Source organism: Homo sapiens, chromosome 3, assembly GCF_000001405.40.
Source record: "Homo sapiens chromosome 3, GRCh38.p14 Primary Assembly".
Classification (NCBI taxonomy): Eukaryota; Metazoa; Chordata; class Mammalia; order Primates; family Hominidae; genus Homo; species Homo sapiens.
The window spans coordinates 122,074,178-122,099,175 of NC_000003.12; the positions used below are offsets into that span (position 1 = coordinate 122,074,178).

The 24,998-nt window shown below is 42.9% G+C and overlaps 1 protein-coding gene across 5 annotated transcripts in view, besides 6 other annotated features; it reads left to right on the forward strand.

The window, feature by feature from the left end:
• The window catches only part of CD86 (CD86 molecule), a 65,775-nt gene that overhangs the window by 18,816 nt on the left and 21,961 nt on the right, over nucleotides 1–24,998 (forward strand). For 2 of the 5 annotated variants that reach the window (NM_006889.5, NM_176892.2), the window contains exons 1-2: nucleotides 3,607–3,868; nucleotides 17,424–17,473. The exons of 1 other annotated variant lie outside the window; for it this stretch is intronic. In NM_006889.5, coding sequence (NP_008820.4) covers nucleotides 17,428–17,473 — 46 coding nt within the window. In that variant the 5' untranslated portion in view covers nucleotides 3,607–3,868; nucleotides 17,424–17,427. Of the gene's footprint in view, nucleotides 1–3,606; nucleotides 3,869–17,423; nucleotides 17,474–24,998 lie in introns of those variants that run through there. 2 more of the 5 variants (NM_175862.5, NM_001206924.2) reach the window with 1 other exon arrangement.
• Nucleotides 519–858: an enhancer, noted in NCBI's record as "active region_20358". NCBI's record gives its function as "activates an Ori minimal core promoter by ATAC-STARR-seq in GM12878 lymphoblastoid cells {active_cell/tissue: GM12878}" and the evidence as "EXISTENCE:reporter gene assay evidence [ECO:0000049][PMID:35858748]".
• Nucleotides 3,472–3,651: an enhancer, noted in NCBI's record as "active region_20359". NCBI's record gives its function as "activates an Ori minimal core promoter by ATAC-STARR-seq in GM12878 lymphoblastoid cells {active_cell/tissue: GM12878}" and the evidence as "EXISTENCE:reporter gene assay evidence [ECO:0000049][PMID:35858748]".
• Nucleotides 7,387–7,476: an enhancer, noted in NCBI's record as "active region_20360". NCBI's record gives its function as "activates an Ori minimal core promoter by ATAC-STARR-seq in GM12878 lymphoblastoid cells {active_cell/tissue: GM12878}" and the evidence as "EXISTENCE:reporter gene assay evidence [ECO:0000049][PMID:35858748]".
• Nucleotides 7,507–7,656: an enhancer, noted in NCBI's record as "active region_20361". NCBI's record gives its function as "activates an Ori minimal core promoter by ATAC-STARR-seq in GM12878 lymphoblastoid cells {active_cell/tissue: GM12878}" and the evidence as "EXISTENCE:reporter gene assay evidence [ECO:0000049][PMID:35858748]".
• Nucleotides 7,677–7,726: an enhancer, noted in NCBI's record as "active region_20362". NCBI's record gives its function as "activates an Ori minimal core promoter by ATAC-STARR-seq in GM12878 lymphoblastoid cells {active_cell/tissue: GM12878}" and the evidence as "EXISTENCE:reporter gene assay evidence [ECO:0000049][PMID:35858748]".
• Nucleotides 18,207–18,316: an enhancer, noted in NCBI's record as "active region_20363". NCBI's record gives its function as "activates an Ori minimal core promoter by ATAC-STARR-seq in GM12878 lymphoblastoid cells {active_cell/tissue: GM12878}" and the evidence as "EXISTENCE:reporter gene assay evidence [ECO:0000049][PMID:35858748]".

The window sequence follows — 24,998 nt, forward strand, 5'->3', positions numbered from 1 at the left end:
TAGGCATGAGCCATCACACCTGAGGTTGCTACCCCCTCGGGAGCACTGATGGAGGGGCAGTTGGGTTTCTACTGCTCACAGGACCCAGACAACCATCCCCTGCCCTCCCTTCTTCTTGCACTTCAAAAGCACTCTCTTCCTCTCTTTTCACCTCTAAGCCACCGGTATCATCTCTTCCATGGGCTTTCACAAAAGTCTGGATGAACCTTTGAACTTGTATCTCTTCTGCTTTCCCCCTTGCATCAAGAAAGCTTAGAAAACAAACACTAATTAACGTTTCAATAAATAATGCTGCTCTAATTATTTGTGGAAACTATTCTGTATTAGAACTACCATCAGCACCGCCTCCTAGAGTGCTTTTAGACTTGACCACTGGCCGCAGGAGGCCACTTCCATATAACAACAAACAGATGGCTGAAATTGGAAAACTCAGCTAAATGTTCAGATGTTTCTAGACTCCCACGGGTTTCTGGCTCTGGCACATGGAGTAGATCCTGACTGTGTGGTCCTCAGGGGACTCTCTCTGGTGAAGTTTGGTGAGGTCAACTTCCACACCCACACACACCAGCTACTGTGTGTAGCCTGTCCTCCTCTGGTTGCTTCTACTTGCAGCCTTGGCCTCTTCAGTCCTGAGAGCGTTGGAGAATGAGGCAGTGGAGGAAGCAGCCCCACACAGAAAGCAGTTTCTGAAGTAACCTCAGCAACTTCCTCCTCACCAAACACAAGGAACTGATCTTCTCCACTGGGCTCGGCCTCTGGTCAGCCAAGGACAACACTGTTGACCACCATCACGGTTGGCCCCACTCCACCCTTGGCTCTGATGACATATGTGGGAGTCAGAGGAATTTTGATTGGCTGACTGCTGGCCTGTCACACAAACAAGATGGGGCAAGGGGGTTGCGATATGACTTGACATGTGAAAAAAAAAAAAGCCGTGGTCAGCAACCCCCTGCAACTGTTGAAAGGCTAATTCAATCTCTGACTCTTTAACAAAAGTGATCTTGTTCACTGCCTGTTCTGCCCTGAGAGCCTTCTCTGCTAGGAGGTAGGTTGACTGACTCAGGGAGAAGGGTGCTGGTGGCAGAGCTGCCAATGGGTGAGGGTCCTAGAGACTATCGACATGAGGGGCAGTTGAGAACACTGTAGTATTTAGCTGAGAGGAGAGACTATTAATAAAATTTACAAAATCAGCTTTCAGCTATTTGGAAGGGTTTATATAAAAGGATAAAATAATATGTTCTGGTAGTTCTAGAAAACAGGACAGAGACAAGTAGCTGGTACTTATGGATTGGAGGAGTGAGTGGCAGTAGTTTGGGGATTATTTATAAAAAAGACATTTTTCTGTTAACTCTCTTTTCTAATAGTGAATTTCCCAACCTGACAAGTAAGAAAGCACAGGCTAGACACGCATCTGTCATGACACTGAAGGGGTCCTTGCTTGAGTGAGAGACTGGAATGATGAGTTTTGAGGTCCCTTACAGTCCAGCAACTCTAGCTAAGTTGGAGAATAAGAGAATTCCATGACACCATATCACCCCCTCATTTCTGCTGCCTGCCTCACCATTCATCTCTCTTTACTCCTTTTAATATCATTCTACGTTACAGCATTGGAGGAGGCTGCTCTAAATAGGAACTGAAATAAGTAGATTAAAGAAGTGCTATGGAAGGGAAAACAATAAAACAACTTGTTTTTTAAGAGCCTACTATTGCCAGGATCTGTGCTAAGCACCATATATATGCCATGTTATTTAACCGTCATGACATGCCTATGAGATATTTAGTATTACTTCTGTGAGGAAGCCAAAGCTCAGAGAGGTTAAATAACTGCCCCAAGAACACACAGGCATTAAGTAGTGGAGCAGGGTTTGAACACAGGTCTCTATGACTCCAAAGTGCAGTGTGATATGTTATTTTTACTGATCTGTTTATGGAAAATGATACTGCTTTCTAATTTAGTATTAACACAAAGATTTTTTTCTAAATAGATTTACTTAAAGTATGTTATAAAAATACTATATAAATAATGAAACAGATTTTACATGAGTATGAAGTGGTACTAGTAGCTAGAATGATGAAAGTTTGGGGAATACTACTCCAAATATTTTGATAGCTAGCCTTTCAATTTAGCCTGTCTTATATTTGGACTGCTGAGTACAAGGAAAAGAAGGAAACATGAAAATTAAGTGAAATATGAGTTACTTCCCCTGTGCTCTGATAGGTGGGTAATTGATCATATGTCACAATAAGAAAATCAAATGAACCCTTTCAAACAACAGCAAAATCTGTGATTGTAAAATCCAGAGGAAAACCCCAGGTGGGATCTATCTGTATGAAGGATGAAATTTCCAAGGTCTGAACATAGAATGGCTGAGAGGAAGTGATGACCCTGTGAGTCAAGACCCTGGACCCTGGGGGAGCCCTGTGGGTTTGAGAAGCCCTGGGTGAAAGGTGAAGGGTTTTACAGGCCTGTTTACAGACCTCTGTAGTGACAGAAGGGAGATCTTTGTGCAAAGGTCAAAGTAAGAATTGGGAAAGTCTGAAAAGAAAACAGGAAAGTAATAATGAAGATGAAATAACTACTTGGCATACTCTGCCACATGATTTACAGGCAAGGTTTCCTTTGTTTTTCACAACAATGCAGCAAAGAAGTGATTATGAGTCACATTTCATAAGTGAGAAGACTGACATTCAAACATGTTCAATAACTGGCCCAGGGTCCAGTGGTCAAGCCAGGACTGGACTTCGGACCACCAGTTCCAAACCCACACCCCTTCCCTTGCACCACACGCTTTTGTGTGGATGAGCCTCCCCAACCCTGTCAACAACAAACTGTCACTTTGTCACTTTTAATGTCTCCTGCTTCACAGGACACAGCTAGCCTCCAAGAGATCAGGGAGGCATGCCCAGAGGGTGCTGCTTCTCTCTTTTGAAGCTCAAGTGCCACAGACCTCAGAGGCACATAAATGTCCCCCACACTGAGCAGAGGACTTTGCAGTGCCTGATCAGGGCAGAAAAAGGAGGCATGCACCTGGGGGAGGATCACATACGAGTGAAACCTGTCCCCGCTGAAGCACTAGGTTTGGAGAAATCTACTGGGCATTTACACACCTTTCCCACTTCTGCTTATGACTTGTAGCCAAACTCAAGAGTACCACCCACTTCCAGGAATAGTGTACCAAGGTAACAGAAACATTCTAGATTCATACAATTGGGGTTAGATTAGGATCATCTGAAAATGAAGGTTGTGTATGTCAATTGCCTTCTAACAGGATGGGTGGAGAGATGTACTTAATGAATGATTTTGGGGAAGGGCTAGAAGTGAAGCACATGGCCTCTCTGCCCTCACTCATTGAAGGCTGTCTTCTGAAGCCCCGTGGAGCTCAGTGCCTGTCACATGGTTGCCCACATTTGTTGAACTGAACTGCATTTTCATCTATGGGCTTCAAAGGCTGTGTGTACTCTGGGATCTCTGGGAATCTGTCAGGGAAGGTGTCTTTGTCATGTTTGTGGATGGGGCTCCCTTTGGGGGTTTCCCAGGGCTTTACACTCATGCTCCGAGGGTACGTTTGTAGTCATTCTCATCAGTGGAAATGCCCACCTGCCGGCAGAAGTTATTTGGAACCAAGCAAGAGCACTGTCCCTGGCTGTGGTGTTGTTTCTCTAGTCAGTTCCCCTTTCTGTATTTGAGTTCTACCGTCAGTCCTGGCATTATTTCTCTCTCTACAAGGAGCCTTAGGAGGTACGGGGAGCTCGCAAATACTCCTTTTGGTTTATTCTTACCACCTTGCTTCTGTGTTCCTTGGGAATGCTGCTGTGCTTATGCATCTGGTCTCTTTTTGGAGCTACAGTGGACAGGCATTTGTGACAGGTATGTTTGTGGAGGCTCAGACGCCTAGGGAGTGGCATGAGATAAAGCTGCAAGCTGCATCTGGGGCAGAAATGCTGATGTGCTAATGGCCGGCCAGAGAATGAGTAAAAGGGATTGCAGAGAGCATGCTTAAAACCTCTGACCATCAGGTTTGCTTCTCAGATTGACTACATTGGAGGTGGGATATTACAAAAATCTGTCTCTTCCTGCCAGATCCCTTCATCTGTTTTTCGTGAGCTAAGAGACAAAATAGGCAGGAAATAGAAGGTGCCACTTACCAAATAATTGGCAGCTGTTCTTGGCTTTGGGGTGCTGGGGTCTCCGAGCAGCCTCTGCTCTAGAAGAAGCAGTCCAAAGATGTCAGCTCGCCTCGCCTGAGTCCCCTGTGCCAGTGGGAAATCCAGAGAAGGGGGATTTCCTCCTCTTGCAGCCTCTCTGCAATGGACTTACTTGGCTTTCCTGTTTGACCTTTCCCTTCTCTGGTCCAGAGACCCTTCCCCAATATTTCTTCCCATCCAAGTGCCCCATCCCAATATTAGCCCCACTTGGCACCAGAGACCAAGATCTAATTTAAAAAGAAATATTCTTGGGTCAAAAAAGAGCCCAAGCAAGTGATTGAACATAATGTGTTTCACATACGGTGAACCTATTTGCATTTGCATTTGCAAACGGGCTTAAAATATCATCTCTATTAATAGCAATTTAAGGTTCTGGAGAGCCAGGTGAAAATAGTTTTTGACAAAGGGAACTTCCTACTCCCCTTAAACTGTAATAATGAAGGAAATGAACTGTTTATCTTACATGTAACCTCAATCTTGGGACTAAGGCCCTGTACTAAAATGCGTCTATTTATGTGCTCAGACTTGCAGTTCGTGTTATGTCTGCTGCTGCAGATACCGTTAATATTATTTATGTGAGCTATCCTGTGTATAATGGAAGCTTTTATAAATCTCTATTTATTTATTCCTAATATAGTTATTAAGTGCTTGCTATGTTCCAGGTACTAGGGACTTAACAGGTAGCATAAAAGACATAAGGAAAAGCTGCACTCTTGTTTTCTAGCCTAGTGGGGAAATCACATTAATTTAATCACACTAAACATGACTACATAGCAATAGTGCTTTAAAGGGAAGGAAATTGTTCTATGTGACTATATCAGCTGATTAATTACCAAGCCTTTGCATTTGATATTTTGGTTAGTCTATTCTTCTTGAATTTCATATGCCTCTTCCTGGGTGGGGGTGAGGATGGGATTTTATGGAGTTGAGGCTAGGGCAGGTAGGGAGAAAACATGAGAAAGATGAAGAGATAAGCCAAGCCAGATTCTTCAGCAGAAAAATCAAGGTTGAAATACCATGTTTCAAAAATCAGACTGAGGTGGGAGTTGAGGTTAGGGGTCCCTAGGCCAGGGGATTGAAGCTTCAAAGAGATAAAACTAGAGCAAAAGCAAGCACAGAGAGTGGCAGAGAGGTCCCTGGGCATTTTTCCACAGTCCATTCTAGTGCTGGCAATCCACCTTTCATGGCCAGGCAGGTAAGAGTATTTGTGGGGTGGGAGAAAGGACAGGGCCATAGGCTGGGCACACAGCCCTTTACTGGCCCTTATCTCTCCTCTCTTCTCCTATACAGTGCTGTTTCCGAACTGTACATTGGCTTACACTCGGGCTGAGGTTTGGGAAATAGGCGCCATTTTGAATATGTGTGGAGGAAGAAAAGTGTGTCTTCAGCACTTTCCACCTCCCCATCACGGCCCTGAGACCTCAACACCGGGAAGCATCTCGTTCCCTATCGGTCCTCCTTTATTCATGGACGGATATGATTCCTTTCTAAGTTCCATGTCCTTTTTAGATAAATTAACTTGAACCTAATGCCTAATGGCTTAAAAACAAACAAAAAAAACCCTCTTCCTTCCAGCTAGCATTTGCATTTTAACAGGGGCTTTCAAAAAATGCCTTAGCCCAAGGAATGAGTAATGTGGGAATTCCAAGCAGCAGGGTAGGACTGGTGCACAGTATGGGGAGAGAAGGCCCCTCAAGTTGTGGCCCTGAAATGTTGGCTTCCTCTCTTTGACCATGATGCTGTTTCTGAGAAAACAAGAATCAGGCTACCTTAGGGGACCAGGATGGGCATGGCTCCCTTTTAGTGAGTTCTATGAGCCTCATACCTGACAGTCAGAGCCCTCGAGTGGATGAGCACAGACTAGAAGAAGCACTGTGAAACTTTGCATGATCCTTACCTTTTTGGCAAAAAGGAAAAAAAATCGTTCTCAAATTCATCAATAGTTTGAAATAGGGTGTGCCTTGATTCAGAAAGTTTCGATTCTAGATACAACTCGGAGAACTAGGCGTGTCTTGTACACAGATTTGCTCTTGGGGGACCGGAAAAGCTAAATGCTATCGCCATGCTATGCTCCTTCTTCTAGGCCAGTGAGGGGAACGCATTCTTCATTTTAATATTTCAGTTGCCTACAATATTGGAAGGTGGATAAAAGCACCCTCTGCTCCTTCTAAATCTGCGAAGACATTTCTTCTCTGCACCTACTCATCCTTGATGCAGCTCTCCTCATGTCTGTATGGAAACACTGTGCTCTCAAATGAGTTTCAGAAAGAACAACTCACGAAAGAAAACAAGCATTCGGTCAGAAAAATCTCCACAAATGGGGAATAAGGGGGATTTGCTCCAAGGAGAGACTGGAAACCAAGTCAGACATAAAATCCAGCCTAAGCTAGAAGGAGACATGGCTGGTGGGAGCTTGAGGAAAACAGAGCTCAGGATGGAGGACGTCTCCACCTCCAGTCATGTCCTCTGTCCACCAGACACCAAGAAGTGTTCATGTTCCATCGAGGCAGCCCTCACACCCATCCCTTCCTCATCATGCCGACTGCCTCTTTACTGCTTCAGGCTCACCATCTCAAGTCGACGAGCCTGTAATACTGGCTTTCTTGATCACCCTGATACCAGCCGTCACCTCTTGACAGGCTTATTTTCTTTAAGCTGTCATTACACCATTTTTCTGCTCCCAAACTATTAATTCCAAACTTCCAATTTTCTGTTAAATTAAATATGAATTCCTTATTTGACTTTCCATGCCCTATTAGGCTATCTTGCTCCTTGCTTTACTTATAGAAACTAATCTCCCATTATTTATCCAAAGACAACCTCTGCTGCAGGCCAGTCAGCTTTTCTTACTGTCCTGTAAAAATTCCATGGTCACTCCTCCATTTCCATGTGTCCTTAAAAACTGTTATTTGATTGTGTCTCAGAAAGTCGTCAAAGAATATATACCAATGAAAAGCATCAAAAAGGTTATACTTGATGTTATGTGTGTATCAAAAATATGGCTGAAATATTTATCCAGTGAAACTCAATCAACACTAAAAAGTGGTTCTTTCGGAAGCATCAGTTCTTTGAGACCCATTAAACAGATGCCTCGGATGCAGGGTTATATATTATCAGGAATCTGTCTAGGGAAGAATTATTGGAAGCTTGCAAAGCCTTTCAAGGACAGAGGACGATAGCTACCACGTTGAGTTCTAGGAAATTAACCATTGTTATTGTTAAAGGAAGACAGCGTTTCTCAGAGGAAGACTGTTAAACAGTGCAGTGGCCCAGGCTAACAGCCCTCATAAGTGGGAGTATCAGAATGAGTGGACTTAATTACTTAAAACCAATACAGGGTGGAACTTCATCTGCTATAACAGAAATCAACTCGTGCAAGTTCTAACATGCAGGGTACAGTTCTGAGACCAAGTCTGACTCACCTGTCAAAGCTCAGCTCAACTATTACCACCTTTACACCACCCTTCCAAGCTGTAGGAGTGCTTGCTGTTCTCCATGTCTTCTGAAGCCCTGGATCACTTGTAGCCAGCTCAGCAGACTCTACCCAGACAGGGATCCTTTAAATGTACCATATTGTCTACTGTGTTAAAAATGAGAGGAACTGACTCAGGGTGAGAGCGATGGAGTGTCCAGATGTTCTCCTTTATTTCTCCTTATTCCTGGAAATGTAATGAGAATCTTAGAGGTGAACTGAAAAGTTATGAGTTCAACCACTTACTCAATTCGAGATTCGCTCCTAAAATGTCTCTTCTGTGTTATCACCCCCACTTTGGTTTGAATAGTACTTGTGACAGGGAGCTTATCACCTCACAAGAAAATCCAGTCATTGCTTGTAGCTCTCTATTAAAAGTTTTCCATCATCTGGAACTGAAATCTGGCTCCCTGTAACTTTTAGTTATTGGAACTACTTGCCCTTCAGCAACAGTGTATGTATCCTCCCATGGAAGGGCCCTTACATATTTGCAGACACCCAGCATATACTTGCAATCTTTTCTTCTTCAGGTTCATTACCCTAGTCCTTTTAGTTGTTCTTCATTTGACATAATTTCATTATTCACTAGTGAACCTTGCTGCCCTTCCCCTTGATAAACCGAATTTGTCAGTGTCATTCAAGTATAACTGACCTCACAGAACGTGATACCACAAGCGATGTGGTCTGATTAGCACAGAGTTCAGTGAATGAATCCTACACTAGGATTGGATGAAATTTACTTAGCCATACCACACTAACACTTATGTGATTTTTATGTTTACTATGGATAGACTATTTCTCCTGTGTCCACTTCTTCCTCTTACACAGTTGTTATTTCAAAACTGAAGTACAGATTCTTACACTTACCCTCAGGAGATTCATCATGTTAGTATTAGTCTCTCTTTTCAGGCTTTATGAATGTTAATTCAGCTAACTCATTTTTGAGCTATCTGTCTCATTTTGTGCCATCTGCACAGCATAAGTTTGATTTCTGTTGCTTTTATTAGTAGTTTTACTAAATACATAAAAGTGAAATAGTGAAACACAGAGTCTTGTAGCATCCACTGTGGGATCAGTCTTTTAGACAAGAATGATGCAGTTGCTGAGTCAAATGAATAAATGAATAAATCAAACAATACTTTGTCCTCATTTCCCATATTGATCTATCACCATATCCTGTTAATTATAATTCTAAATATTTCTTGATCTATCCACTTTTCCCTTACTTCACCTGCTACTATCCCAGACCAAACAGCCATCTTCTTTCACTCAAACAATTGCAGTAGCCAACTGATTGGTCTTCCTGCATCTGTCCTGGCTTCCCTATCATCCATTTGCTACACAGAAACCATGGTCATCTTTTCAAAATGCAAATCTGATGATATCAGTCTCAGCTCTAATTTCTTTGGTGGTTCACATATAAAGACTGAAATCTTTAACTGACCAATAACACACGTGTGATCTGGCCCCTGCTCACCTCTTCAGCCTTGTCTTTCACCTGTCTCTTCATTTTGGCCACAGGGACCTCCTCGTACCTTCTCTCACGTGCCCTCCTGCCTCAGCGCCTTTGCATATGCTGTTCCCTTTGCCGAGAACTCTTCCTGTCAACTCCCAAGCCCTTCACCTACTTAGCACCTACCTATTCAATCTGTTCTGTTTGCCTCTTGGTATGTTACAAACTGTCTCCAAACTTAGCAGCTTAGAACAATGAATCCTTTACCCTCTCTCACAATGTTTGGGGTCAGGAATTTGAGCGGGCCTTGGCTGATTTTTCTGTTCCTCATGCCATCAATTGATATCACCTGATGTTATTAAGCTGATGGATGGGCTGATCTGGAGATGCACTGTCCAGTTTGGTAGCCACTGGTTACCTGAAATGCAGCCAGTCCTAATTGAGATGTGCTATAACTATAAAACACCCACATGATTATTGAAGATTTGGTGCCACCAAAAAATTTAAAATATTCGTTAATAATTTGTATTCTGATTACATGTTGAGATTATAATATTTCACATACATCAGATAACATAAAATGTCATTAAAATTAATGTCACCTATTTCTTTTTAATTTCTTTAATGTGACTACTACAAGTTTTCAAATTATATCTGTGGCTTGTAATTGTGGCTTGTATTGTATTCTTTTTTTCTGAGATGGAGTCTTACTCTGTTGCCCAGGCTGGAGTGCAGTGGCGAGATCTCTGCTCATCGCAAGCTCTGCCTCCCAGGTTCAAGTGATTCTCCTGCCTCAGCCTCCTGAGTAGCTGAAATTACAGGTGCCCGCCACTATGCCCAGCTAATTTTTGTATTTTTAGTAGAGACGGGGTTTCCCCATAATGGCCAGGCTGGTCTCAAACTCCTGACCTCAGGTAATCTGCCCACCTCGGCCTCCCAAAGTGCTGGGATTACAAGCATGAGCCACCACACCTGGCCTGTTTTATATTCTTACTGGACAGTGCTGATCTAGAGCAGGAGTCAAGCAGTTTTTTCTATGAAAGGCCACATAGAAAATGTTTTCAGCTTTGCAGGCCATGCAGTCTCCATCATAGCTGTTCAACTCTTCCATTGCACTGCAAAAGCAGCCATAGATAATAATTTACAATAGACATAGCAGTGTTCCAGTACAACTATTAATAAAAATAGGTGGTAGCCAGATTTGGCCTACAGGCTGTAGTTTGCTGACCCCTGATCTAGAAGATCCAAGATTTTATTCATATGTCTGGTGGCTTGGCAGGGATAGGTGGAAGGCTCAGCTGGGACCATTGACCCAAACAGCTATACAGTCCTCTCCAGCATGATGGTCTCGGGGTAGTGGGACATCTTACGTGGTGGCTCAGAACTCCAGATAAGGTACTCCCAGAGAGACAGGTAGAAGCTGTGAGGCTTCTTATGACCAAGCTCTCGAAGTCCCAGAATATCCCTTGTACTGTATTCTATGGTCAAACAGGTCACTCAGGCTAGCCCAGATTCAAAGAGAGGAGATCCAACTCTACCTCTTCATGGGAGGAGGAGTAGCCAAGGATATGTGTTTCTTTTTAATCTATTATATCATTCTTCAGATCTCAGTTTAGGCTGGTCCTGTTATGGGCTCTCAAAGTACCATGAACCTCTCTTTTGTAGCACTTGTCATAGCTAGTTTTACATTTCTCTGTATGATTACTTGATCACTATCTTGCTTTTCTACTAAACTGTAGGCAACCACGTGAAGAGGAACTGTTTCTGGTTTTGCTCATTATATTCCTAGCACCAAACACAATGCTTGGTTCAATAAATATTTGTGGAAGAAACGAATGAATGAATGAACCAATAGCAAATGAATGAATGAGTAATAACTGTATCAATATTAATCCTACATTTCTCCATATTGCTGTCACGTATATCATAAGATACTCTGTCAGAAGCCTTGCTAAAATTCAAATATATTTGATTCCCAGTAACCTTCTTATTTTGTAGTTCAGAAACTTTATAAAGAAGGAAATAAGCCTATCTTACTCTTCCCAGTATCTCAAAGAGGGTTTCTGCCCTGAGCTGCTCAAGAGGGTTTCTGCCCTGAGCTGCTGTTCATTCTGCAAACACTGCTCGAATACCCACTGTGTGCCAGGTACAGAGAGTTCTTCTCTGCTGTAATCTGGACAGGCACCAGCTTCCCAGCGTGGGTTTAGGCTTCAGGTGCACACTACTGTGTACCGTCTAAGCCACACCTAGAAGAGCTCTGGGGAAATATGACTACTTGGGCAGAAAAGGAAGGAACTAAGAAGAGGTATCTTTGTGTCTGAGGTCTGAAGGAGCGTGTGGGCTCTTGTTCAGGCAAAGGGCAGGATGAGGGGAGGTGGGGTGGCAGCAGCCAGTAATGGGGTGGGACAGCGGAATGCAGAGGATGAAACTTCAGGTCCTGGTGCTCTGAGAAGTAACGCTGTGCAGCATGTCACACCCAGAGGCAAACCAAGGCCCCAGGGAGCTGATGTTGCACTGGAGCTCTACTCTCCTCTCAGCGAGCTGGTGACGTGCCAGTCCAGCAGGCCTGGCTTATCCAACCACAAGTATGAATCGGCAGAAGGCAATGAGCTGGGCCCTGAGTGCTGCTGGGCTGAGGCCGACCTAATCCTTCCTCCACAGAGACTGTGGTGTCCCCTGCTTTGCTCAGGGTAAGAACTCTTGTATACCTCACAAGAAGCCAAGGACTACCTACCACCTTCCACACTGGCCCTGGAGCCTGCATTGTAGTTATTTGTGGACACTTTTTCTTCTCTTTAGTGCCAGGTGGGGGACCAAGGCCTACATGTCTTTACAACCCCTCAATCTCTAGAACAAGTCTGACACTGAGTAGATGTAGCAAATGTTTGCCTGAAAGACTACCTCAATAAATAACCTTCTGAGGCACCAGCAAACTTCTCAGCATTTTTCCTGATACTCCGGTTACCACTAACATTCTACACAAAGTTGTGAAATAAGTCTTTTTCTTTGTTGCTCTCCAACATCTACTGTGGACCCCTCCTCTCACTTCCTGTTTCATCCTCTCTGCACTCCCCTGTCCCACCCCATTACTGGCTGCTGCCATTCCACCTCCCTCATCCTGCCCTTTGCCTGAATGAGAGCCCACATGCTCCTTCAGACCTCAGATACAAAGATACCCCTTCTTAGTTCCTTCCTTTTCTGCCCAAGTAGTCATATTTCCCCAGAGCTCTTCTAGATATGGCTTAGATGGTCCACAGTAGTGTGCACCTGAAGCCTAAATCCACGCTGGGAAGCTGGTGCCTGTCCAGGTTAAAGTGGAGAAGTACTCTCTGTACCTGGCACACAGTGGGTATTCGAGCAGTGTTTGCAGAATGAACAGCAGCTCAGGGCAGAAACCCTCTTGATGCAAAGGGATACTTTGGGGCCCCTTCTTCTCCCACCCCAGTCTGTCTCTCTGAGAGTCCTCTCGATTCCAGGAGCCACCATCACACCTGGCCCTAGGCTGTGCTGCTCCCGTCTGTCTCAGAGGCTAGATAACATCAGAGTCCTTTCCACTGGCTCCTGTGGCAGAGCAAAAACTGGTTGGCATTTTTAAACGTGCTACACCAGTGTGTGAAAGAAACACAGGCTGCATGGGTTTAAATCTCAGCTGTACCATTTACTAGCTGGGCAGCCTAGGGCAAGTACTGTGACCTCTCTGAGACTCCATTCCTTCATCTGTAACATGGGGACAAATAATCTCACCCTGTTGTGAGCAGTAATAATATGATTAATCATTTAGCCAACTCTTATTCATGTTCTCTGATGGGCCAGACATACAAAGTAAGTGAAAGTGGATTACGGCAGGTGCTCTTCTTGGTTTCTGGAGTGAACCTCCATTTACATGGAGGCTCCTCTTTTTAGATTTCTGACTAGTTCACCCACCTTATTCATAGACCTTATTCTGTGCTTAGCTGACAGAAATCTCCTCTCAGAGAATCCCCCCGGTAAATTCTTAGGTTCTTTCCTCTTCCATTCCCCTTTTTGCTCTCTCCCTCCGAAGGCAAGAGTTTCCACTTTACAGGCCCACTGGAGAAAGTTATGGCTTCTGGTTGTGGTTGGAGGTTCATTCCTGAGGGAGTGGGGACATTTCTACACTTCTTCACGGCCAATGACATTGGAGAAACTGGCTTCCTAACCCAGCCCACACCCTCGCACACACACATCACACATCATGGCTAGAATGGAGAGAAATTCTTCATATGGGGCACTTGTACTTCATGAAAGAAAATCATATCAATCTTGAGTATTTTAACATCCTATTACAGCAGGGTCACTGATAAACTAAGTGTCCAGAGTGTTTTCTAGGATGGTGTGTGGTCTCCAAATTAACATTAGTGAAGCTTACTGGAAGGATTGTTACTCCTGGGCCAGGCCAGGATTTTGAGGAGAGATGTGTTTGCTGTCACCAAATCCTTGACAGACTTTGGCAGAAGTGTGTTAGGCTTACTCTGGATAGCTTCAGAGGACAAAACTAGTATTGACGGAAGGAAGGTAAGGAGAAGCAGCTTCTAACCCAGGGGAAGAGAGAGTTTCCAAACTGAGAAATCAAAAATGGTACTGATTCCTTGTCAGGGTCAGTGCTTCTCCCCACTGTGTGAATTACAGGGGCCATTTGTCCAAGATTCCTTAGAGCAATACTGATTTCATGTAATTATTTGAATGAAAGGTGATTTGTTAAATTTATAGTAAAATATAATTTGATTTGTGTCCCTGTTTGTCATGCCACCCCAGAAGAAAAATTGTCTTTGGTTAGGTCGAACATAATGGTTTTTTGGTTTGCAAACCATGAGCGATTCCCATATTAGGTGGGAGTTCAGATTCAAAGGGCCCTCTTTTTTTTTTTTTTTTTTTTGTAGTAGCCAGCCTAATGAGTAGGAAGTTGTTCTCACTGTCATTTTATATTGAATTTCTTTTATTTTGAGTATGACCATCTTTTCAAATGTATGAGATAGTTATTTCCAGTTCCACATACTATCTGTACATTTCTTTTGCCCGCTTTTAGTTTGGGTCTTTGGCCTTTTTCTTATTGATTTATAGAAGCTCTTTTATACATAGAAAATTAATACTTTGTGACTAGTTGCAAATATTTTCAGTTGCTGAAATACACAGTAGGTGTTCCATGTAAGAGCTGAACAGCTGGTTCCTGATTGCTGTCTCCCTCCCTTCCAGCCAATAGATTTCAGAGTTTGGGCATTACCTATTGAGCCAAAGCTGACACCACACAAGCGCAGAGTATGGGAACAGAGTTCTCTGTCTGATTCCTGTGAGCTTCCTCATACTAAATCACCAACAGCAACCTACTTATCACAGAATATGAGAATTGAACAAGTGTTGGCAAGGATGTGGAGAAATTGGAGCTCTTGTTCCAGTTGTCGATGGGAATGTAAAGTGATGTCGCTGCTATGGAAAATAGTGTAGCAGTTCCTCAGAAAATTAAAAATAGAATGACCACATGATCTAGCAATTCCCCTTCTGGGTATATACCCAAAAGAACTGAAAGCAGAGTCTTAAAGAGATATTCATACAGCCTTGTTCATACCAGCATTATGCACAATAGCCAAAAGGTGGAAGCAACTCAAATGTCCATCAAAAATGAATGGATAAACAAAATGTAGTATGTACATACAGTGGAATATCATTTAGTCTTAGAAAGAAAGGAAATTCAAACACATGCTACAATGTGGATGGCCCTTGAATACATTATACTAAGTGAAATAAGCCAGTCACAAAAAGACAAATACTGTATGAGTTTACTTATACCCTAAGCAGTCAAATTCATGGAAACAGAAGGTGGAATGGTGGTTGGCAAGAGCTGAGAGGAGGAGAGAAAGAAGAGTTATTGTTTAATAGGTATAGAGGCTTAGTTTTGCAAGATGAAAGAGTTCTGAAGATGGATGTAGTGATGACTGTACAACAATGTGAATGTATTTCATACCACTGTACACTCAAAAGGTGAAGATGGCAAATTTTATGTGTATTATGCCACAACTAATAAAGATTTCTAAAACTTATGAGATCTAATTTCACCGTTTCCTATTGCTAAAGATCACAAATTAGAAAACACGTTGGCAAAAGGTACATGAAAATAAGCACTCTTGTGTTGATCAGAGCATAAACGTATAATCTCATAAACTAATAAAGATTTCTAAATAACAAAGATTTCTAAAACTTATGAGATGTAATTTCACCATTTCCTATTGCTAAAGATCACAAATTAGAAAACATGTTGGCAAAAGGTACATGAAAATAAGCACTCTTGTGTTGATCAGAGCATAAACGTATAATCTCAGGGGAGAACAATTTGCAACTATTCTTCAACCCTTTGGTCAAACGATTCTGCTTCTAGGAATATAGCTTACTCCCACCTGTGTGATATGGCATATAATCAAGGTTTTCCATTGCAACAAAAGATTGGAAACAACGTTAAGTATCCATCACTAGTGGTCTGGAAATATATATATATTATTGTCATCCAATAGAATACAATAGACTAATATGCAACTTTTAGCATGAGGATACTCGTTACATGCTGATACAGAATAATCTCCAAGGTAGTCATATGTGTGCAAAACCGTACATAGTATGCTACCATTTGTGCTTAAAAATAAAAAGAAAACAGAATATGGGTCAATGTTTTTGTTTAGTTTTGTCTAAAGTAACTTTAAGTAGAGGCAAGAAACTGGTAACATGTAACAGTGATCACCCCTGTTACCTCTGTGGAAGAAAACTAGACAGCTAAGGGACAAGGCTGGGAGGCAGACTTGCTTTCCACTATTTATCACCTTTATCTTTCAAATTTAGTACCATCTACATTTAGTACCATGATCTATTCAAAAATATTTATTAAAAAAAGAAAAGGTATAGTCTAGAAGGAAAAAAAACATAACAGACACTTCTAGCCCAATGTCCTGCACTGGGTGCTATGAGAGCAGAGGAAAGAAACACATATGGCTTCTAGACAACACCGTCTGGGGCATACATTTCTGCTATTCGATCAAGAATAGTTGTGCATCTTTTCCTGGAAAGAATTGATTTGTTTTTATCAACAGACCTATGAATTTAGTGGACAGACCTGTGAATTAATTCACTGGTTAGGTTTTCCTTTTTACATTGGCTGTTAAAAAGCTATAAGCCAAATTTATGTCCCCCTCAGTGCAAATTGGGCAGATTTCTAGGGCAAGCATTTAGCACTGGCCTTGTCCTTGGCTCTGTATCATATTCCTGTATTTGGTTTGCTTTTCCACCTGTTTCTCATGTTGGTCATCTTTCCTGTGTATGGCCATACCATCCTGAATGTGCCTGATCGCATCTAATGTTGGTCACCTCTCCTTATTCTTTGCTTCCTTATAAGCCACTAAGCAGCCTTTTTGGTGCTAGTTAGGGTAAGTGCGTGGGTAGTGAAGGAGGGAGGAGGGAGAGGAAGAAAGAAGATAGAGGTTATAAAGCAAAGCATATCCTTTTTCTTGGCTTCATCATGTAGATTAAGTGAATTGCTCTCAAAGCGTGGTCCTTAGGCCGGCAGCATTGTCATCACCTTATGTTGTTAAACATAAAAATTCATGGGTTTCATCCCAACTTACTAAGCCAGACTTTCTGTGGTTGAGGCCCAGGAAACTCTCCAGGTGATTTTTACTCACATTCAAGTTTGAGAACCACAGGAAAACAAAAGGAAGGCAGATTTCTAAGCGTAAATGCAATACTAACCGATTGCCCCCATCATGCCTGTTATGTTGGTCAAGATAAATAATACTAGCTACTGCAATAATCAATCCCTCAAATTTTATTTTTTGCCAATATCACAATCCATTGTAGATCAGTTGTGGGAGAGGTGTAAAGAGAGCTGCTTTATTAGTTTATTAAGCAAACCAGATCTCTTCCATTGTGAGACTTTGCGATTTTCTAGGCCCTTGGACATTTCCTCTGGATCCCCTGCTGCTAAGAAGGCAGGAGAGGGAGGAAAGAGAAGAGACTTTAGCAGCCAGATCTGGAAGAAACATCTTTTCTGCCCACAATTCCATTGGCTAGAAGCCAGTCTCATGGCCTGTATAACTGCAGGGGAGGCTGGGAAATGTGACCTATCGATGGAGCTAAGAGCAAAAGGAAATGGCTTTGATGAAGCCCTGGCATTGTCTCTGCACACCCGAGAACCCAAGTGAATCCCAAACTCCACGTCCAGGTCATGTTTTGGTGAACATCGGTTTTCAGTTTCCTTTTCTAATCAAGTTTTACCTTTTTTTTTCTCGACTCTAGCACTATGGGACTGAGTAACATTCTCTTTGTGATGGCCTTCCTGCTCTCTGGTAAGAACCTTTCAGCTTTGTTAAGTCCTGGAATCCTACTGTCTCCTGATGAGTCTGACCACAGCAAGCCCAGGCCTGAGACTTGGTGGGTTTTACTCACTTTCTACTGAGCATTGTACAAGACCACATGCAAAAAAGACTTTCCTGGAGAAGAAGGAAGTGTTATGATTGAGAGCAGCTGATGGCAGGCAGCTGGGATGGAGCTCTCCCCCCCGTGTGCTTCTTCCTCCTCTGCAGTCTCACATCAGTGAGCCTAGATGCTCAGAGTAGGGTAGCCTGGCCCATCCCATGGGGATGGGGGAAGGCTGCTGCACTGAGGCCCCTGAGACTTGACTCTTTTGTTCCACACATATTCTCTTCTGGTCTTCTCTGACCCTGTTTCTGTCTTTCTCAGGCTCCTAGGAAACAACTGACAGAATTCCAAAAGTCTCCCTTCATTCGGAGCACTGGCTTTCACGTCCCTGACTTCCCTACCCTCTCTCACTCCCTTCCCTACAGCCCATGCACATACCTCATGGTTGCCACGGCTTCCTGACAACTATGGATGTTCAGCTAATTGTGTCAGCTGATTTATAGTGGAGCCAATGAAGCTGAAGCTTCAGAGCCCTCCATTTGCACAACCCTTTCTAAATCCCCCTCAAGACCCTGTGAAGGGCCCCCTAGCAGTGTGGTCACCTGTCTTATGCTTTGGTAAAATTTGAATAAGTAAGATATTGTAACCACAATAAGTTATGACCACTGTCTCCTTCCTCTGCAACTTTTCCCTCCATGCCATTCTCCTGTCTGGTGGTGTTAGCAGTCAGGGGCATTTTGTATTTGAATTCTACATTCTTTTTCTTAACTATCCACCACCTCCCCTCAAAATTTTAACAGCATCCAGCCTCACAAAACTCAGATCTTCCCTGTTTACAGTTCCACTTTGAGTTTCAGTTTCTTCATCTATAAACAGGAGTTGGCTGCGGTCCCTGCCATGTATCCTGTGACTCAGTGTCTCGTAGTTACTCCTGGCCCACCCCTTCCTGCTGCTCCTTGTCTCCACCTGCAGGCCTGAGAGGGAAGCCACCCCACTAAGACAGGGAGGTGAACTGAGCCTGAAGTTTGGCTACAGCACCCACAGGCCACCAGCCATGAGTTCACCTCCTCCAGATGGCCACACACCAGGCCCTTGGCCACTGTCCCCATGTCTGCTGTGGATGATGAGGAGTCAGGGAACTACAAAGAGATGGTCCCTCAGATCCATGCTGGCTGGGATAAGCCTTTTCAGATTTCTGTTTTTCTGCTTAGCACCTTGAGCTTGTGGAGTCCTTGAGTGCAAGGTCTGTAGATGTGCCAGCTGATCACTGACTTAGGTAACAACAGCAGCTTCCAACCCCCAGGGCCCATGACCTGCTACCTTAGCTCCTGGGGATGTGGGAGGTATGTGTGTGTCAGAGAGCAAGGCAAGAAGACTCTAGAGAACATTATCCAGTAAGATTCCCTTCTCATCCCACTTCTTATTTATTTATTTTATTTATTTTATTTTTTGAGACAGCATCTTTCTCTGTCACCCAGGCTGGAGTACAGTGGCACAGTCACAGCTCACTGTGGCCTCGATTACCTGGGCTCAAGCAATTCTCCCACCTCAGCCTCCCCAAGTGCTAGAATTATATGCATGAGCCATCGCACATGACTTATTTTATTTATTTGATAAATGCATATATACACACAGTCATGAATCGTTTAACAACAGGGGTACGTTCTGAGAAACACATTATTAGGCGATTTTGTCATTGTATAATCATCATAGGGTGTCCTTACACAAAACTAGATAGCATAGCCTGCTCCATACTTAGGCTACCTGGCACAGCCTATTGCTCCTAGGCTACAAGCCTGCACAGCATGTTACTGTGCTGAATACTGTAGGTGTTGTAACACAATGGTATGTATTTTTGTATCTGAACATATCTAAGCATAGAAAAGATACAGTAAAAATATGGTGTTATAATCTTATGGGACCACCATTGTATATGACTGAAATGTGGCTGTGCAATACATGACAGTATATGCATATATATATATATCCCTTACTTTGTGCCTGGTACTGTTCTAAGTACCTCATAAATATTAACTCATTTGAGCCTCACAATAACTCTCTGCTTTAGGTCTTGTTGTTATTTCCCATTTTAAGATGTGGACACTAAAGCCCAGAGAGATGAAGTAATTTACCCAAGATCGACAGAGCTACTAAGTGGCAGAGCTTGGATTCACACCCAGCAATGTAGATTTAGCATTCGTTCACTTGACTCTTCTCCTAACTCTTGTGGTAAACCATGAATAAGTGGTAAGACTTCTTCCATGGGGCCTGAACAGCTTTGGTGGATAATATAGCTTCTGCCTCATCCGTGTTCATCCAGTGCCTCCTCCCCATCACCTGCAGCTGACACCTCAGTTGACCCAAGAGCTTGGGCCCAAGCCCTTCTCATCAAAGTGACCAGCCCAGCTCTCAAGATCTGGGAGAGAAGGAAGAAAAATGCCCTGGAAACACATTTCCAGAAAACACTAAACTGGAACACCATTTCCCACCAAATTTTCTGACTCCGCACACTGAAAGTGAGAAAGTAAAGCCGAGACACTCTATGAAAACTGAGTTCAGGTGTCACTTTTGCCCTTGATTTGCCATTGACACTTCTTAGAAGTTTCTTAGCTCCTGAGAAAAGAGTTACCAATATTGAAAGCAACAACCTCAAATGGTAACCGTTTAAGTTTTATGGTGGTGAGAGAATAAGTGACTATATTTTTGGCAGTACAATTTTAAAGTGGAATAGAAAGCCCATGACATCAGATCAGAAAATAACATTGCCAGTAATTCACACACGATGAAAAGCAACAAAAAATCAGATTCTATTTGAATTCTTTCTTCTCAGGGCACACCTCTGCTTACTGGGCTGGTGAACAGTGACCTAGCCACAGGGCCGGCTTCCAAAGGGAGAAAGGAGATGCAATTGGCCCACATAATCCACCCTCAAAATGTAGAGCTGAATAATTCATTTCATGGCATAGAAATAGCAATACAGTGAAGCAATTCTGTTTAACTTTTCCCTCCCTATATTTTGTGTCCTCTGTCATGGAAATTTGACACAGTAGTATTTGCTGCCCCTGCTCTTGAGGATAAAATTGGATGGGAGTTTAAGACTGAAACGGGCACCTGTGGCCTTGCAGAATTAGGTTACAGTTTGTGCCTTGTATTTACAAAGCGAAAGGAATTCCTAGTGCCACCTGCAGAGGCACTTCTAACTTTCAAGCTCTGTTTGCCACTGTCCTGGCACCTCCATCACACTTTTAGGCTGGAGCCAGAGAGGTTTTTGAAAAATCAGTAGCTCCCACATCAGGAGGAAGTATCTTTCCAGTTTGAGTTTTGGTAGCTGCTCTCTTTTTGTCTGAGGGTTCTCTGGGTCCTAGGGCTTTCTCATTTCTCTTGAACAACACCTCTAGTTAATTTCATGTACCTGGAGTGGTAGTTGGAATATTTCTTCACTTTAAGATTTTTTTTTTTTTTTTTTGAGATGGAGTCTCACTCTGTTGCCCAGGCTAAAGTGCAATGGCATGATCTTGGCTCACGGCAACCCCCGCCTCCCAGGTTCAAGTGATTCTCTTGCCTCAGCCTCCCAAGTAGCTGGGATTACACCTACCACCACAAAATACAAAAATACACAAATAATTTTTGTATTTTTGGTAGAGACGGGGTTTCACCATGTTGGCCATGCTAGTCTCGAACTCCTGACCTCAGGTGATCTGCCCGCCTCGACCTCCCAAAGTGCTGGGATTACAGACAGGCATGAGCCACTGCGCCCGGCCCACCTTAAGATTTATGTAAGATTGGCTCAAAAGCTCATTCCTGTGGAAAGGTCCACTGTTTTCCTCCCAAGATTTTTGCAGATATCTGCGTGGGTGGTTACTTTTGACTCCCATTTCCTGCTGTTGTTGATAGCCCTCATTAAAACCATCACCTGGAGGTGAATAGACAGTCGAGACCTATCATTCCCAAAGAATTGTCATGGAGCCTAATAGTTCTATTGGATTCACCCCTTTATGTTAAGCCACCATTTCAGTGTTTTTCAAAATAGATATATGTTATCTAGTAGGGAGTATCTTACCCCCAAATTAGTTGATTGTTTCAGGAGGGCTTTTAGTGGGTTCCAGAGAAAATGAGCAATCAGACAAGTTGATTTAGTGGAAGACAGTCACTGAATAGGATGTGTATAGGGTTGTTTGGGAGCAAGAGTGAAATTGGTATGGAACAGAGAGGCTCCCAAGGCAAGCAGACATTTTTTTTGGAAGAAGCAAGTGTTTGAGAGACTGTGGCTTATTTTTCCTTTGTGAGAGGGGAGTTTTAATACCATTTCCAAAATATGTAACCTGGTATTTTGTCCCCAGAAGTACTGTTGAGATTTATGGAAGCAAAAAACTCTGTCACCCAGGCTAGAGGAGTGCAGTGGTGCTATCAAAGCTTACTGCAGCCTCTAATTCCCAGGCTCAAGAGATGTTTCTGCCTCAGCCACCTGAATAGCTGGCACTATAAGTACATGCCACCATGCCTGGCTAGTTTTTTTTGTTGTTGTTTTGTTTTGCTTTAGAGACGGGGTCTCGCTTTGTGCCCAGGCTGGTCTTGAACTCCTTTTAAGTGATTATCTCTTCTCAGCTTCTTAAAGTCCTGGGATTATAGGCATGGCCTATCTATTTTTATGTTTTATAATTTCTTGTACTTTTTGATGTTACTTCAAATATCTTTTTAAGTATCCTAAATATACTTATTTAAATTTTTTTTGAGTAAATTTATCTATAAATTATTGATTTTATGTCGATAGACATTGTTCTCTATCATTAATAATGTTAAAAATAAATAAAAAAACAAAAACAAGTAAATCAATTAATGCTTACCACAGGCCAGTATTTGATCCAACACTAACTCAAATATTCATTTCTTTAATCCTCACAACAAACCTATGAGGTAGGTACCATTATTGTTCCTGCTTTTTGCAAGAGGAAACTGAGACACAGGGAAGTTAAGTAATTTGCCTATGGTAACACAGGCAGTGAGTAGTTGAGCTGAGATTGAACTCACGCTGTCCAGAATCCATGCTATTAGTTATAATAGTGTACTGCCCTATAGCTTTCTGTTTCACAGCTACATGGCATTACTTTGTATGGATGTATCATTATTTGTTAAACCATTTAACTTATTTCCAGTGTATTGTTCTTATAAACAATGAATACCTGTGTACCTCTAATTTTGTGCACATGTATCTTTTTGTAGAATGAATTCTTAAGAAATTGAGTTGCTAAGTCAATGCTTAAGCCCATAATTAATTTTCTTACATATTACCAACTGTCCTCCAAAAAGGTTGTACCAATTTAGAATTTTACCAGCAGTAAATTCAGCAGTTAGGACCCATTTTCCTAACACTCTCGCGGACACTGGGTATTACCAGTATTTTTTTTAATACGTGCCAATCAAATGGGCAAAAAGAATGGTTTCTCACTGAGGTTTAAATTGCATTTCCCTAGTTATTCTTGAGATTTTTCCTTTCCTTTCTTCAACAATTACTTATTGAGTGCTTCATATTTGTAAGGGACAATTGCAGGTACTGGAAATGTCACAGTGAGGAAAAGTGACAAAGCCCCTGCTGTCATGGAGCTTATTCTAATGGGAGATGTCAGGTGCTCAGCTGAGCTGGGAGAGAGAGAGCTGAGTTGTCAGGTGTCAGAGGAGCCAATTATAGCAGCAAAACAAAAATAAAATAGTTCAGCTTTTAATCTCTTACTACGACGGTATAATCAAGAGGCTAAAATGGGAGGAAGGGCAGACTCTGCCTGTTCCATTTCCCCACATAGAGTGAGTATACCAGTCGAGGGTCAGGTAATCAGTGCAGACTTAGGGGGTCGCCTTACCATTGAAGAAGCCCCAAATGAAAGGCTCTAGCAGTTTTATGGACCTGGGGGTGGAGGAATCCAAGGGTGGGGAGAATTCATGAGGAAAATGAGGTGAGAGGGCTAGGAGTGGAAAAGTACAAAGTACTGAGTTAGCGTGGGGAATAGTGTCTTTAGGGCTAGGAGTGGAAAAAATACTAGGTACTGAGTCAGAGTGGAAAACAGTGTCTTCAAGGCAGGGAGTGGAAAAGTGCTAGGTACTGAGTCCGAGTGGAGAAAAGTGTCTTCTCTATGATGAGGAGGCTTCAGCAGAGGTGCCTGAAGACCTCACCCCAGAGCCTCAGATAAAGAGACCTAAGAATGAGGGTGCCTGGGCTAAGATTGCAAGTATGTGAAAAAGCATGACTGGCGGGAGGCTGAGATCTTGATTGCAGCCCCCTTCAGAGACTGCCATGCACTGACTGTGCACCAAGTCTGCTGTAGAAAGGGCAACTTCCTCAGCAAGGCTTGTCAGATTAAGCCTCTTTAATTGCCTGTGGTCAGGTCTGAAAAATCACACATAGATTTTTAATCAGAACCCAGACATCTCAGGAGAGACAGACAATAACCAAACATACCGTGTCATGTCATGTCATGATAAGTACCACAATAAATATAAGTCAGCATGAGGGACAGAATGCCCAGGATGCTATCTTCAATAGAATGGTTAGAGAAATCTCCCTGGGAGGTAGCATTTAATGAAAGACCTACATGAAGTGAAGGAGAAGCTATGAGACTGTCTGGAGGAAGAACCTTCTGGACAGAGGGAACAACATGAGAAGAGGACTTGAGACAGAGTGTGTGATCTTTTGGAGGAATGTCAAGGGAGGCAGTGTGGCTGGGGAGAGTAAGCAGGGGAAAGAGGCCTGATAGGTACTGGGGACCCAATTACATGAGGTCTTGTAAGGCCAGGGGAAGGACTTTGGATGTAGTTCTCAGTGTGAGGGGAAGGGATCTGGATATATTTTTCAGTTTGGTGGAAGGCATCAGAGGCTTCTGAACAGGAGGATTATGTGATTGGAGCTGTATTTTTAAGGGATCATTTTGGCTTGAGAAACTAGACCCGGGGACAAGGACGGAGCAGGCAGATGAGTTAGGAGACAATTACATTAGTCTCCTCTACCCTTTTCTTAACATATTGGAGTTCAGCTCTGGCTGTAGTAGTTCTAGATCTCCTCAGACACACTTGTGTAGAGCCTCTGTTGGGTATTTTGGGTACACAAATGATTCATCTTGGTTATACAGATGATTTAGATGATTGTAGACAGAAGAGGGTTGTCTGGTCATTCCCAGACAGGGGAGCATTCCTTGAGATAGAGTAGAGGAAGGCTGAAGGGGAGGAAGACAGTACCTGTTGCTATCTAGATAGAGACATCCAGCAGGAAGTTGAATACAGGTATCTGAAACTCTAGTGAAAGTTATAGGCTGGCAATAAGCACCTGGGAGTTATTAGCTTTTACTTGACAGTTGAATCCGTGGGGCTAGAGGAGAAAAACCAGGAAAGTATGGAGAATAAGAAGACCAAGAACATGCACTCAAGGTTACCAAAATTAAAGAGTGATTTGAGAAAATTAACAAG